The 17,272-nt window shown below is 34.6% G+C and overlaps 1 protein-coding gene across 19 annotated transcripts in view; it reads left to right on the top strand.

Moving 5' to 3' along the window:
* The window catches only part of DMD (dystrophin), a 2,220,167-nt gene that overhangs the window by 962,201 nt on the left and 1,240,694 nt on the right, over window positions 1-17,272 (top strand). For all 19 annotated transcript variants that reach the window (XM_006724469.4, NM_000109.4, XM_011545467.2 and 16 more), the window contains 3 exon segments: window positions 11,989-12,168; window positions 12,478-12,606; window positions 14,230-14,400. In XM_006724469.4, the coding sequence (XP_006724532.1) occupies window positions 11,989-12,168; window positions 12,478-12,606; window positions 14,230-14,400 (480 nt within the window).

Genomic DNA, 17,272 nt, shown 5'->3' with positions numbered 1-17,272 from the left:
CTGGTTAATGATAATACTGAGTCTAAATGTACTAGTTTTTCCTGTGATATGAGAAAACTAGAATTCACTTTTCAAGATCAAAATTAGCAAAGAATTTGGAAGTATTGCTCCAATTGGAGAATCAGAAGTCACCTTAAAAACAATACAGATTTTACTAATCTATAGTAATATATATTTCATAAAGTCTTCATGTGACACAAAAGTTTTAGGGTTTTGGTTTTTAACTAGCCGTGTTATATAATCGAGGAAATTTCCTATCCTAAATTAGAAAAGTATAAGCATATTTAAAGTTCAATTCAGTTTTTCTTACATTACGAAGCTGAGAAAAATGAATCTAACATTAAAATCAAAAGCAATCTGGTCTGGCTTACTGTATTCATGTCACCAATGCGGTTTATCAAAAATCCCTGTCATATCAAATCAAGCCCTTCCACAATGATCTAACACTTAAGTTTTTATGAGAAAAAAAAAAAATTGGATTCTCTATACTCATTTCACCTCCTTACCGTGGCTGTGGGCAGGCCCCAGATGATGCATTGTCTATAATATAAACTATGTTGGTGACCACCAAAGCAGCCAGGCATTCTTGCTGTTCCTTCATTTCTTACTAGATTATGTTATTTAATTAATTTAATAGTATTTCATCGCCTATTTATAGGGCCATAGTCCATGTGCAAGCAGTTTTCCAGTACCACCAAAATTCTCAATAAGGTCCCATCACAACTATCATTTAGGCCTACCATAAAATACACAGAATTAATAAAATGAGACAACCATCATTGTGTGAGCAATACTTAAGTCAGCCCCATGCACCTTCAGAGAGGTACTACTAGCATTGAGATGAATTATTCCAACTTGTAGGGAAACCAAATAGATACCGAAAGAAAGAGTTTATTCTTATTTATTTATTTTGAGATGGAGTCTTGCTCTTGTCACCGATCCTGGAGTGCAATGGCCCGATCTCGGCTCACTGCAACCTCCTGGGTTCAAGCAGTTCTCCTGCCCCAGCCTCCCGGGTAGCTGGGATTACAGACACCTGCCACCATACCCTGCTAATTTTTTGTGTTTTCGGTAGAGTTGGAGTTTCACCATGATGGTCAGGCTGGTCTCGAACTCCTGACCTCAGGTCATCCACCTGCCTCGGCCTCCCAAAGTGCTGGGATTACAGGTGTGAGTCACCACACCCGGCCAGAAGAGTTTCTTACACTGGCCAAAAGATCAGTTATGTTCTTTATAAACTTGGCATAGGCTTAGGGGGCAATTCACCATTTGTTTTCTAATGCTGTGCCCTTTAAAAAGGAAGGGGAAGGTTGCCTAAAACGATGAAAGAGATGTTATAAAAATCAAGCTTCTTGAGAAATATAGTAAAATTGGAAACACCTTAAATGTTGCAGTGTGTTACCATTTACACAAAGGATAAAATATGTAGAAATATACATTATTTAGTTATATATAATATATAGTAAAAGCAGAAAGATGTTTGGGAATTAATATAAACTGAATACAGAACAAGAGCTATCTCTGTGAGGAAAGACAAAAGAATTGGGTGGGATATGAACAGGACACTTAAATGATACTTGTAATATTTCATTCCTTAAGATGAGTTATGCATACAGAAGTAATGATTACATTTGGTATACTTTCTGTGTGTCTAAAATCACATATAAGAACATAAGAAAACATACAAAAGCAAATGCTTGGGATTTTTCCTTTTGGAAACTCCACTAGCCAGGTTCTGTAAGATAACGCTTAGTAATTAAGGAACACCCACTTCGTGAGTATTATTGGTTTCAAAAGAGCATGGCCACTGTTCATTCGGTTTGCCTAAGCATTGGCCAAAGATTCTCCTGCTGATTGAGCAACAGGACAGGAACCTAGCAGATTAATTCCAGCGAGATGAATAAGGAACATTGTCTTTCCAGTTTTTAAAGAGGATGTTTCTGTGGCTTTTTTTTTCTTTATTATCTACATTGAAGCATGATCGACAGATTCTTATCAATGATTTCCTTGTGAAAGCAGAGTCAAGGGAATGAATAGCGCAAACCGAGAACTGAGAATTTTCATCAAAGTGGAACCAAAAGTTAGCCTGTGTATGGTCAGTTTGTGTGGCAGCAGTGCTGTTCTATCCTTAAGAACACTTCTATTCAGAGAGAATCGTTATTAGAGAGGACAGATCTGTAAGTCACTGGGTGAGGTAACATCAGAACTGAAGGTCCTCTGAAAATGATCTTATTTCCCTTTTTGTAAACAAGAAAACTGTGCAAAAAGCTCCATATCCCTTTCTCTGTTTCTCGATTACTTTCTTTTTAAAATTACTTTAGATTCAGGGGTTACATGTGCAAGTTTGTTACATGGGTGTATTGTGTAACAATTCTAAAATTCATATGGAACCAAGAAAGGGCCTGAACAGCTAAAGCAATCCTAAGCCAAAAGAACAAAGTTGAGGGCATTACATTGCCCCACTTAAAATATACTACAAAGCTGTAGTAACGCAAACAGCATAATACTATTACAGATATAGACACCTAGATCAATGGAACAGAATAGAGAACTCAGAAATAAAGCTGCACACCTACAACCAACTGATTTTTGACAAAGTTGGCAAAAATAAGCAACAGAGAAGGGACACCTTATTCATTAAATATTGCTAGGATAGCTGGCTAGCCATATATAGAGGAATGAACCTGGACCCCTACCTTTCACCATATACAAAAATTAACTCAAGATGGATTAAAGTCTTAAATGTAAGCCCTGAAACTACTAAAAATCCTAGAATAAAACCTAGGAAAAGTTCTTCTGGACACTGGCTTAGGCAAAGAATTTATGACCAAGACCTCAATGACAAATGCAACAAAAACAAAAATTGACAAATGAGAGTTAATTAAATTAAAGCTTCTGTACAGAAAAAGAAACAATCAACACAGTAAACAGATAACCTCCTGAATGGGAGAAAATATTTGCAAACTTTGCATCTGACAAAAGAATAATATCCAGAATCTATAAGGAACTTAAACTTGTCAACAAGAAATTAAAAAAAAACAGATTAAAAACAGGACAAAGAACGTGAATAGACACTCCTCGAAAGAAGACATACAAGCGGCCAATGAGCATATTAAAAAATCTTCAATATCACTAATCATCAGAGAGATGCCAATTAAACCCTAAATAAGATACCATCTCACACCAGTCTGAATGGCTTTTGTTAAAAAGTCAGAAAATAACGGATGTTGATTGCTTTCATAGGGTGACCATGATTACATTTGTAATAGTCATTCACTCCTAAGGATTTCAAAGTCATGTGGGTCCAGGATCCTCAATATGAGGATTAATGTTACCATGGGAACCATGAAAAGAGCTGACCTAATAGGGGCCATATCAATTCTAGCCAACTTCTTGAGCTTCCTAATAGAGAAGAATGCCTAAGAGACTCTCTCACCAAGAGGAAGGCAAATTAACTAGTCAGATAAATGAGAGCAGAGATGGGCAAACTATAATTGGTAGGCCTAATCCATTCAGCCACCTTCTTTTGTACAGCCCATGGGCTGAAAATTGTTTTTATGTAAATGGTTGGAAAAAATCAAAAGAAGAACTAGATACTTCAGGACACATAAAAATTATTAAAAATGCATATGTCAGTGTCTGTACATAAGACTATTGAAGTGTATCAATTTATATTTGTTTATTTTTTCTGGCTGCTTTTGTGCTAAAACAGCAGAGTTGAGTAATTGTGACAGAGACTGCATGGCTCACAAAGCCTAGAACAACTACTATGTGGCCATTCACAGAACATATTCAAACTCCTGAACTAGAGGAAAGCTAATATAGAAGCAGCACCCTGTTTGACCATAGAATTTTGCCATGTCTTCTTCTTGAATGAGTATCAGAGGTTTGACATTTCTGGGATCCTTTTGATAGGCCAGTGGCGTTGTAGAATTGGTCTTTCCTAAATAGAATGATTCATCTAAGTTTTCTTCCTGCTCAGAATTAAATAGTAACATATTCCAAACCATAGATACTAGAATGCATAGCCCTTCCAAAAGATACTGGGTGGTGCGTGACACAATTTAAGATGTTTAAAGATACCATCTACTTGAAGAGAATTACGAACTCAAGAATGTCTTAGGTATTCTAATTCTTAATGATCCCACAGAGAAAGAATGGGAGAACTTCCAGAAGTAGTGAGGATGTGGTCAGGGGTGATTAACTGAAGGGACAGCTGCAGGTAAGAAAACTGTCCTGTGTCCCCTTACCCTGTGACCATGTTTCCAAATTATAGTTACAGAAAAAAAGAATATATTTTAAAAGTATTCCAAATTGTTTAAAAGGTAAAGAAAAATTTTTAAATTAAAATGACAGGAGGAAAGCCATTTGAGAATATTAACAAATGAGATAAAAGATTGATGATGAAAATTGACAATTTAAATTATTAATGCTAATTGCAACTTCCTACAGCGACATAGCCCTTTCACTGTATTTTTAAATTCACCCTTCAATCAGAGTAGTATTAAAGAGGGTAAAATTAATGTTAAGTTTTTAAAAATATGGATCAATCCTAGCTAGCTGCATGGTCCAGACAACAGCAATGCCACGAGGCAGCCATCACAGTGATATTTATCACCCCATAAATGTTCAGATACTTTTCCTTTTCTGTTAATGGAATTTTCTAGGCTGAGGTGACAAACACTGATAGCTGTAGAATAGAGATGATGGAAGGAAATGGCAAGGCAATCTACAGGAGATTACTAGCACCTGAAGAGTTTGAATACTGGAACTGCACAAGTTCCTTGAGCTTTCATGATAACCCCTACTCTCTTGGACTGTTATGTAGGCAATAGTAATTCATTCAGCAAAAGGACAGGGAAAATGTGTATTTTGGTCTCTGATATTTCCCATGTACATAAGATATTGCCTGACACATAGGACATACTCATGAAATATCTGTTTAAACGTAACTTGCAAATTAAGAGTTGCAAATTATAATGACAAAGCAGTTCTTGAGAGAAGAGAAAAATGCTGATTTACATTTAAAATTGTACAAGTTTTATAACAAACATAAATAATCACCTGATCAAATGTTCCCGTTTTATAGATGAACAAATACAAGTCCTGGTACATAGCAAAACTGTAATACTATGCCTGATTTCAACAGTTTTTTCCACTATACCAAATTATCATAAGAAGTCTTATTTTCTAGTAATTTTAAAGTAATCTAAGCTTAAAATAACAAAAAGCTACTTATTCACAATAAGCATGAAACAAACCATGGCTAAATTTCAAGTGCAGAAAATATAAGTCCTCATTAAAATAATAAAATGAAAACCCGTGTGTATCTATCACCTACTACAGTCTGTAGTCTGTCCCCACTGTTGTGATTTTAGATTTCAAATATTGTTTGTTAGTATCTTAATATCACTCTGATTAGTTGAGTGTAAGTAAATCAATCTGAACATCCCATTACTGGCCAATATTGTTTAGCATATGAATTGATCACGAAAACATAACCATAGGAAAGTAAATATGTATGTGATTAATTAGAGGTTTACTTCCCTGAAGATCATTATGTTTGGGAAATACAAGCTTTGACAAAGTCTAATCTATATGATTTTCTGATTTAATCACTAACATTTTATTTCTAATTTTGTTTTAAGCATCAAAGATTCCAACTCAGTTAAATAATTTAGTTCCATTAAACCCCTAAATATCCATGGTGTCATCTGAAAGTTCAAATGGTAGAATAAGATTTTCTGGAAAAAAAAAATTTGGTCCTATAGTATGTTCATCCTACCGCCTGTTTTATTAACAGTAGTCTTAGTATGCCAAGAGTTGCCTGAGAGGAACACACACAAACACACACGCACACAAATGGTATTAATAAATTTAACTGAAGGTGTTAAATGCAGAATAATCTATGTCTAAATAGCCACTTGTTTAACAAATTACCGTGTTTTTCACGTTTATTTTGGAAACAAAGTTTTATAATATTTAACCTCAGGAAGAACAAACATTGGTTGCTCAATTATCCTTTGGCTTTCAGTTCACTCTTAGAATTTAATGACTATCACTCAATAAAAACTCAGAATGCATCTTTCTGTTTGCCTGTGGTTTTCAACATTGGTTGCACATCAAAATCACCCGAGAAACTTGAAAAGTATCCCAATGTTTGGGGCCCACTTCCAGAGATTCTGATTTAATTGGTCTAACTCTAACTAGCTCTCTTATTCAGCAAAGTTGAGAATCACTAGATAATGTGATACAAGATCCGCGAATTTCAAGCTGTCTGACGAGAGCCTAAATTCAGCTCAGTCAACCATGTCTTGTATATATATTTTTTATAACAGTAAGATTTCACAGTTTAAAGAGATCTGGTTTCTGGTCCTAGATTATCTGGATAACTGCCTCAACTCATCATTCCTCTTAGCTATAAAAATATAAGAACTATTACTTACTCTAAAGTCTGTTATACTCTCATTCCCCTGAAAAATTACGTATCTTTTTTTTTTAAAGTGAGCAGAGTAATTTATCTGTGAAGTGAAATAACACTAGCAGATCATTAACTTGGTGCAATGAATGCATCAAGCAGCTGTTACTTAGAAAATAGAACATCTGTTACATGCCATTGGAGTCACTATTCACTGTCATTATAGTTAGAGCTGTTATTTCTGTTCAGTTCATTCTGCTTTCATGAAATTCTTCTTTAATAAACAATACAGTGTTATTAAAAAGTCAATACACATTGCTATAGAATCCACTATTTAATGCTTTATGTTCTTTTTGAATGTATCATTATATTATTCTGTCACATTAGCCTAATAGTAAAATATGTCCTAAACCTCTAGCCATGATAGAGTAATTTTGGGGGCTGTAAAAGCAATTAGCATCTCATTTCCTCATGTTTAAGACATGTTAGATTGTGTGATGCACCATTGATATGATTACAGCTGCTGAGAATTTAAAAAAAAAAAAAAAAACACTACCACTTTCAAGGTAAACCTTAATTGTATGTTACATCTCAATTTCCGAATCCTTAAAATGTGACAAATGCACATCTTAGAATTGCAGTAATATGGCAATGTATTCCTTTTCTTTCCACGAATATGTTACGTAGCTAAAAGGTGAAAGAACCCTCTCCTGTTCTCTGTGATCAGAAATGGTATAATATTTGCAAATACTAAGTGCAGAATTCACCTGGGTAGGGGGACTTCTCAAGATGCCTTTTATGGATGCTTTAGTTAGCCTTTTATTCATATTACAGGGAACATGAGTAAGAGAAAGGAATAGCTAAAATAAGTCTGAATTTAATTGAGTCCTAGTAAAGGGAGGAATCTATAAGGAAATGATGTTAAGGTACGTAGGTAAATAAATGTGGTGCTGATTGAAGATAAGCTCTAGAGAACAGGAGACTCTTAAGATAATAAAATTTGTTTAAAAAGAGGGGGTGGAAAAAAGAGATCAGACAGAGAAGTTATCTTAAGAATATAAGTCCCTGAGAAATTCCAAGAAAATCTGTGGAAGGTACTGGAAAACTTGTGAAAATACGAAATGGGTGGAGGAGAGAATAGAGGTTAAGTGAGCTACATTTCTTTACCCCTGAAGGGAAATGTTTGTAAAGGTGTTCCTATAGGACCAGATGATTTTTCCAATAATTTTTACCGTTCTACCATTAAATAAAAATAATGAAAAATGCTGATGGTATAATCAGCAGAGACCAATGGAGAAGGTTTTTCCATCTTGCTACTGTATCAGTGAAGTGAGCCGATAGCTGAACCCTGAACCGAACATGCCTTTTTAAATTTCTACAAGCAATTATACTTGTAGATATGGGGAATGAATCAGAATGTATTCTTCATCCTTCCCATCAACATGGGGCATGACTTCACTGGAAGAAATTAACTCATTATACTCATTCTTTTATAATAAGGAAATTAGAGTAGCATTTACAAATTATGGCTAAGAAGTAGACAGCAAATTTGTTTGAAATCATGGAAGTTAGTGCTTAGTATTTGGACTATTTATACTGGAGCTATCAAATGTTACAAAGTAACATATGGAAAATAATATGTTAGACATTGTGAGAATTTATAGTTTAATTGGATTTTACTTATGTCAGATATTTTCCCCTCTATCATAAAAACCCTTAGTGCCAAGTATATAGTTTGCGTTCACCTTCTCTTGAATCTCCTGAAGGTGGACTTACAATCATGTCATAGGTCAAGTTAAAACTGAGTGTACACAATCTTGCTTTTTCTTCAGCCCTAAAATCGATCCTAGCAGCAATCACATTACTACATGACTGAAAAACCTAAAGTGTCTGAGTTATAATTTAGTGAATTTAGTCATTGAATTTGAACTTGCTCCTTCAGAAGAGTAGATCTTCTAGAACCCTCTCCACTTCTCACCTCACAAGGCAGAAGAAGGCATGTATGCTGAGAATCGGATGCTTTTGAAAAGGAGGAAATGCCATATCTTTTCAGCTGTTTCTTTCCATCTCGCCAACCCTATAAATAAGGAGCTCCCTTTGAGAGGAATGAGTACAGGTATAAAGACAATGGCCAAGGCAATAGCTCTAGGTTGGTTCTCCATACATCTGAAGATGCAGACATTCTTGTGTTGTGGGAAACTATTAGAGCCAGAGAAAATGGTTCGTCAACAACCTCATCAAATGTATTCTTTTAGTTTACAGTAAGAATTCCCTGTTCCTCTATGGCAGCCTTGTATTCTAACTTTCATACCTTCTCGTTGCTTCGTACTTTGTCTTTAGTCAATCCAAACCATCCCATGCACACTCCGCCTTCAAGTGTCACCTTTCCCTTGTAGTCATTCATGCTTATTCCAGCCATGGCTCATCTGTTTCCAAAAAAAAATGTGATTTTTTTCTAGTATGATATCAAATTGTTTTATTGCATTTAAGCTTTCCTCTGCAGCTACACTGTAGGCATGATTAGAGTGAGGTTTGCAAAGATTACCTCATTCCTCATCTCTGGCAGTGAATAGCACAGTACAGACTGGATATTAGGCACCTGATATACATTGGTCAATTAGTATTTCAGATCTCCAGAAAGCAAGCTCAGCATAGTATTTAAAGGCTAAGTCTTATTTAAGTCTTATTTCTTAAGTCATATCTTTGATTAAAAACACATTTGAGGGAAAAATTTAAGGCCTACTAAATTAACACAATATTTTTTCCTAACCCAAAACAGCATGTATACAAATGATTGAATACTGGTTCCTTATTGTTGAATAGCATACATAAAAGTTTAACTCTAGGTCTCTTTTTTTACAGAGTGTAAATTGTCCTGTGAATCACTTTTGACCATTAGCAGTTATAAACCACCATCATATCACTGCTTTTTTCAAATACAAGTTGATAATGGTGATAAATTGAACATCTTTTAGTTTTAATTTATAATTTTGTGGAACTTAAGAAGGCACTAGAAATTAGTCCACATTTCCTATTTTGTTCCCATCAACTGAACATCACTGGACATTGTTTAAATTAGCTGGAGGAATTTGGCCAGATGTTGACACATAATGGTTTCTGTGACCCAGGAACTACCTGCAACATTATCCCCTAAGTTCAAAACTTTTGTGATCTCTTCTGAGTTTTGGAAAATTCCATTGCCTTTAATTGCATTGCTTGTCATGTAAGAAACAAAATCTATGTACACAATAACTTTTTACATTGATGCTAAAATATAGTGTCATCTTTATGAAGACTTATTAAGAGATAATTAGTAATCCAAATATAAATTAAGCTTCAACTTTGTGAAGGGTTACCTTTGTGAATAAATCAACTACAGCGAGATGCCAGTAGACTGGAATATAGAAAGTAGATAATTCTCATTTGCGTATATGTCCATCTCTTTGACAAACTCATACTTGGATATAAGTTTTTGAAGGATGGGGACTTCTCTACCGTTTTATCCCACAGAGCCTAGTAACAATGGCTAACATCTATGGTTGTAGAGGTTGTATACTACAAAAGGTTGAAGTCAAAGTATTAAAAGGAATAAAATCTAGTCTATGTCTACTCTGAAGTTAAGCTCTAAAGGGTCTGTATCTACCCAAATGAGAGACTTCTAATAATCTCCCAGAATATATTGAGGAGAATTACATATGATTCTGCTACAGTAGTAACTGGCATATAATAGGAGCTCAGGCAACACTTACGATTGATAAATGAAGAAATTGCTTTTATGAATTGCTAAGCTCACCTGTGTGCAACAAATAGCACCTACATATGAAGAACCCCATGCATGATAGCTGTCGAGTTCATCTGGCATTAAGTACCTTAATTTCAGGCATGTTTTTATTGAAAAAATGTGACATAAAACCATATCTTAGAATTGAAGAAACAGTGTTTTTGTCTTGCATAAAAATTTTTATACATTGTTTCCTCATTTATTTCTCCTGTTTATCCGATGCCAAAGGCAAAACCAAAACAGAAAGTATGAGAAGTGATTTCGAGTGGACCAGGACCTTATGGCGTGGCAGAAAGACAGCCACAGGACTACTTAGGTATATTATAAAGATAGAAAAGACATGTTGAGAGTGACTCTATGAGGCCAGCCTATACCTAATTTCTTACTCTTGTACTGTAATTTTTTTCTTAAGAAATTAGATGTAGGCTGGCATTACAGAGCTGCTCCTTGTGTGTTTATTAATTGATTATTTGTATCTGGACTTTCTCCACTTTCCTGTTATTGCTGTTTCTCAATGATTTTGTTTTGCTTTGGCTTTCTGTGATTAAGACATCAGCTCCACTCGCAAATAGCTTTTCAACTCGAGTGCCAATCACAGTCTCTGTATCTGTTAACCTTATTGAGAAAGGAGAAAAAGGGTCTGTTGGGCTCTGGCTCAGCTCTCTGTGAATGTCCCACAGCTGGCTAACTAGACAGGCAGGGAAAGAACCAGGCACAGACTCAGTGGAATGCCGAGTGGCCACATTGTCTGTCAGCCGTGCCATGTACCAGGAAAGGGGCTTTATGCAGGGCAGGTAGTAAACCTTTGTACTAAGATCACTTTTTCCATCACTACTCTCTATCTTTTTTCATGTTAAATGTGATTGTTTTCATGTTTTATAAATCACCTCTTAGGAAATAGTGGTATTCTCTTAGGAGATTTTAGTCTAGGGTATGTGGATAGAAATAAGGTCTGTGAACTTGGATTGGGGGAAAACTTTATCTTTATTTGTATTCAATTAAAACCAAAAGTAAGCAGTTTTTTCAGTTAAAATGTGAGCAACAAACTCCAGCAATAGAGATACCCATGACTTTGTCACTAATAGAAATGACAGATACTTTTATAACGTGTTCCAGACATTGTACATACTTAAAAATACCAGTTATGCTCGTCATCACTACATTGAAATTATCCTAAAGACCTGATGCTAGATCTTGTTAATTAACATATTAGGAAATAAAACATGTATTACTACATCACAAATATTTAAAAAATGTGTTGCACATTGTATTTCAGTATAATTGTTTTCATTTAAAATCCTATGTATTTTGTTTTATGCATTTAAAAGCATTATTATGAGAATGGGTTTTTAAGCTTCAACAGATGCCAAAAAGATCCATGGCACTAAAAGGCTAAAAAAATCCCTGCTGCAGAAATACAGTAGCACCATACTGTAGAATTTTCTAAGGGCAGTTTCTTATTTGTGGATGGATTTTCAAATATCTGCCTTTAGCCACTACATGTATAAATTAAATAAATATAAATATATTTAGTTGAACAATATGTATGTTTATTAAATATTTATAATGAAAAATAAGACATGAATTATGCTTATGTACATATATATGTTCATAGTTACCCAACAATGAAGCTTCAGTATATATGGTATGGTTTTCATGATTCATTAATACATAGTTATAGGTTTAAAACCTTGCAGAATCATAGTAACCATACAGAAAGCCGTTTCATAAGCATTAAATCTTAAGACTACAAGACATTACTTGAAGGTCAATGCTCTCCTTTTCACAGGCTACTCAAAAAGAGATTGAGAAACAGAAGGTGCACCTGAAGAGTATCACAGAGGTAGGAGAGGCCTTGAAAACAGTTTTGGGCAAGAAGGAGACGTTGGTGGAAGATAAACTCAGTCTTCTGAATAGTAACTGGATAGCTGTCACCTCCCGAGCAGAAGAGTGGTTAAATCTTTTGTTGGTAAGAGAAAAGGCTAGAAGCTTTTACACCCTTCTCTGTCACGAGAAAAAGATACATAAGTGACCAGTAACAATTCTGTGTTTGAAAATTTCTCAATTCTACGTATATGCTGGCTCTTAATTCAATATCTATAACAATATTTTAATATATTTTTCTTTATATTTACGCAATATTCTATATGAAAATACCACTTAAAACTAATCTCAATGAAACTTTATTGTTGTCTTTTAAACATTTTAGAACATAGGAAAAATTCTTTAAGAATATTGTCTAACCAATAATGCCATGGTATGTCTCTGTACAATTAAGGAATACCAGAAACACATGGAAACTTTTGACCAGAATGTGGACCACATCACAAAGTGGATCATTCAGGCTGACACACTTTTGGATGAATCAGAGAAAAAGAAACCCCAGCAAAAAGAAGACGTGCTTAAGGTAGCAAATAAAATATGAAAAGTAATGTCCAAATTGTACACCAGTTACTTCAATCATCTTTGTCCTAAAAGATACTAAGGACGTCTTAATAAGAGTAAAACAATCCTTTCTTCCTTCCTTTATCTTTCCCTTTTTCCTTCCTTCCCCCTTTGAATGGAAATGAATGATTTTGAAGAGTTCTGTAATCTGACTTTCTGTTCAAATCCATCACTCAGTTAATTATACCCAATGTAAACTCCGTTCAGAAAGATATTCCAAGATTTATTTTGAAATCATATTGCAAATTTCTGCCTTTGTCAATGGTGGTACTACATTCTTGTGTCTAACACAAAGAACAATCTGACACTATCATTCATTTAGCCCATCTGAATGAACACCTGAAATCCAGTCAGCTGATTTTTTTGCCTATGCCATATCCAAATCTTGGTAATTAGTCTTAATGTTGGGCTTATGTAAAGCTGAGGTTTTCATTTTTAACTACATGTAAACTAGGCTTTGGGTTCTTTCTTTTAGTCTCAAAACTGACTGTTAGGATGCCCTGTCTTCTTTTTCAAGGGGAACTTAATCTTTTCTTTAAAAAATGATTCCGATAAAAGGGTATGAGAGGTGTAATACGCAAATATACCTTATAGACACTACATTGTTTCTATTTGATGATGTCTCTTTTCCCAATTAAATAGGTAGAGTTGAATTTTAACAGCTCTCTTTTCAATAAACATTTTTTATTTTGTTTTGCTGCAATGTTTGATAAATTTATTGATTAGTTGTTTACTATTTAAAGAAAACTCAAAAATTATGTTTCTTTCTATGCAATTTATTTTTATGCCTCTGATATTTTCCACAGATTACGATATACCTTTAATGAAAAACTATAAATTCATTCCAGGCTATCCCCAAAACACATTTATGCCATTGTCTGAAGCTTATTTTGATGTGGATCTGTATTGTGCTCTTCATTATCCCTTGATGTATAGTCAGAGATGTCATCTTATGGTGAATTTCCTTCAAGGCTTTTTGAATAATAGGGTCTGAGTTATTTAACTTCAACCTCTGTGACCCGGCAGGTCAGGAAGAACATTCCTCAGTACCTCTGTATGTGACAGAAAATTCGTATGTGTTAGAAAATCACTTTTTTTCTTATGACACTCAATGTAATAAAGAGGAACTTGAAAGTGCTAGGAAGGAATAGAAAAGTGTTCTTCAGCTACCTGACCTCCTGAGCACATACTTAGTTCATTCCACAACTATTAAATTCAGTAACGATATAATAAAATAAGACTAAATAGAATATATTATGATAGTTGCAACAACATAGTTGGGAAAACATCCCTGTCCTTCCTCGGACTAAATAAACATTTTAAATAGACATGCATCAAACTTAAGGACGGTGATCTATTTTTCTGAAATCACACGCATTTTCATTTTAGTCCTGTTTTATGGAAGTTGTGGTTTTATCTCCCTTTGTATTTTCTGCATGTGCTTGCTCTCATTTTCTTACTTTCTCTCTCTCTCTTTCTCACTCTTCTCGCTCACTTGCTCACTCGCTCTGTTTGGCTCTCTTTTTCTATCTTGACCTTCATTAATTACTAACTTCAAGTCCTATCTCTTGCTCATGGAATATAGCGTTTAAAGGCAGAACTGAATGACATACGCCCAAAGGTGGACTCTACACGTGACCAAGCAGCAAACTTGATGGCAAACCGCGGTGACCACTGCAGGAAATTAGTAGAGCCCCAAATCTCAGAGCTCAACCATCGATTTGCAGCCATTTCACACAGAATTAAGACTGGAAAGGTAGGAAGATCTACTCCAAGGTGGAAACTTGTGCTAAATGGTCTCTTGCGAAGGTTGCGCAGTACTCTGAAAGGGGCAAGTAGACCCCACAGCAAGGTTTTCAAAAGGAAAATGAATGCCAAAATGTATTTAAGGAAATTTTACCACTGATTATAATGGGAGATAAACGCCACTCCTCCCCGTCTCTGTCTCTCTCTGTCTCTCTCTGTCTCTTTTTCTCTCTCATCTTTTGCTGCCATAGATATTCTAGGACTGCATTCTATGCTGCAGTTTACATACGTACTTTCAGGGGTCACCTACAGAAAAAAATAACAAATAGCATGCTGAAGGCCAAAAAAATAAATAAAACCAAAAGCACACAAGTCATCCATCAACATAAAGCACTACCGATAAATTTTGCCAAAAGCAGTACTGATACAATATTGCTTGTATGTAATGTGGATCAAATATCCAAAATGAGGTCTTGTACATCTTCTGCACGGTCTAGGGTGTTTTTTTACCTCTTTACTGGTTGTGCAAGTGTGTTTGTTTAACTTGCTTTTGCTAGTTGTAGACACTGTGACAAAATTCATTAGGCTATAATGAAATGATCACGCCATGAAAACAAATCATTGCAAAGCTTACATATCCTAATTTTTGTAATTTTATATGCCTATTTATATTACTGTTTAAGAAGAACCAGGGAATATGGAACTTTTGCGTGATAGACTTTATATTTGTGTATGATTTGATGAAGAGAAAGTCTTATTTAATAAGTAGTTTGCAAAAATGTATAAATATAGTGTTATAGAATTTCAGCTCTTTGGGAAGATTTGAAATGCAAGTAATTACCTAGAAATTTATATACTGTAGTTTGATAAATTTCAATATATATGATATGCTTTCAAACATAAAAATGTATATAAAATCAATATATGTATTTAGGTATATAGATAATTGTTAGAAATAATCTGAAATGAAAAAAACATTGGAGTATTTATGAGAAAATATGATGCAGTATGTCAGGTAAGTATTGATTCCTGGAAAAATAGAACATTTTCAAAAAATATTTTGATAGATATAAGCAACCAGTAATAGCATGGTTTCACAATTGCTGCACTTTCTAAGGCATTACAGTGTCTCATCATGTTATATAATAGTACATATTTAAAGTAGTTTTCAAAATAAGTGAAATGTGACATGATAAATTCTAAATAGTTTAGCTTGTATGCATGAGACACAGTTACCCTTCAAAATTCACCTTCCCAAATTAAAAAGTTGTTAGTTTACCTTAATTCATTGCAAGTTATTTTTAATAGTTAACTACTTAGTTCTCTTGTACTCTCTCTCTCCATACATAGAGACCTTATATAGTTGACTTTTAAAAGGCTATATTCTCTACATATGGAGAGAGACAGCATGAGAGAACTTAGTAGTTAACTGTCACAAATATATATATTTGAGTCAGTCATTATTACCTGCAAAAAAATGTGACAGGCTCTTAAAATTGATTAAAGTTTTGAAAGAATGTATTGTTACTTACAAAGACAATTGTTTTTACTTCTAAAGATATCAATGGCTTATGTAATAACAAGACAATGAATGGAGATTTATTTCAATCCTTAAAAAATGCTACTACTTCATTACTAAGATATAGACACACACACATGCACATTTTAATAAATCACTAAGCTATAGAATATTTAAGAGAAAATAAGGTATTATCTTTGGATAAATTGTGTTACAAGATTGTGGTTCACAGATATTAAAAAATGGGTAGAATTTGCTCTCCACCACAGATGTGACAGACCCAGCCAATACAAGTTTGTGACCAAGACAAGTTTGTGAGTTTTCATTTCACATTCTGCATGAATTTGTAAGTATACTTCTGGAAATCATGCATAAAGTGATCCACTCTATGAACTTCTTTTATTTTCCCTAGAAACATAAGGCATAAGAAATTTCCAGTGAATATTCATTTATTATTATTATTATTATTATTATTATTTTGTGTGTGTGTGTGTGGTGGAGACTCTCTCTGTTGCCCAGGCTGGAGTGCTGTGGCATAACCTCAGCTCACTGCAACCTCTGCCTCCTGGAATCAAGTGATTCTCCTGCCTCAGCCTCCCAAGTAGCTGGGATTACGGGCGGGCGCCGTGACACCTGGCTAATTTTTGTATTTTGGCAGAGACGGGGTTTCACCACGTTGGCCAGGCTGGTCTGGAACTCCTGACCTCAAGTGATCCTCCTGCCTGGGCCTCTCAAAGTGCTGGGATTACAAGCGTGAACCACTGTGCCTGGCCCCAGATTTTCAATTATATGTTAATTAACAAAATAATCACATGTTTGCTTTTCAAAGTATTTGTTTTTCTCTAAATTAGTAAAGGCAACTGAGTGTAACAATGACCCCATTTTAGGGCTCTGAAGAGATAATTATGCTCTATTATCACGATGAAATGAAAAACACAGAAATAAAGCATATCTGACACTTTGCTTATATATTCATTGCATCAGCTAATGGGATTGAGCTTCCATTGTGTTAGAGATTGTGGTGAGAAGATACAAGGGTATAAAGATCCTTGCTTAAGAAATACATGTTTTCAAACAGAAATGAATACTTAGTATAATCATAAAATATGTTTAACACTAATTCATCTTCATGGGGATGTTCAAATAATGGTGAGATGATCTCGGCAGAGAGAACAATAGATTTAGAAGGTAATCTCACCAGAGAAAACAGTGGATTTAGAAGATTGAGATTTAGGCCTAACTTTTTCAGTAGTAGCCAGAATATGTGATTTTTCTGCATATCCATTTCATTGTTTGTAAGATGAGGAAGTTAAAATAGACTAACAATTTTTAAAAGAAAACCTATCCTGCCCAAAATATTATT

This window comes from Homo sapiens, chromosome X, assembly GCF_000001405.40.
Source record: "Homo sapiens chromosome X, GRCh38.p14 Primary Assembly".
In the NCBI taxonomy this organism is placed as follows: Eukaryota; Metazoa; Chordata; class Mammalia; order Primates; family Hominidae; genus Homo; species Homo sapiens.
The sequence above is the reverse complement of the archived record's forward strand: the minus strand, read 5'-3'. Positions and strand labels throughout refer to the sequence as shown.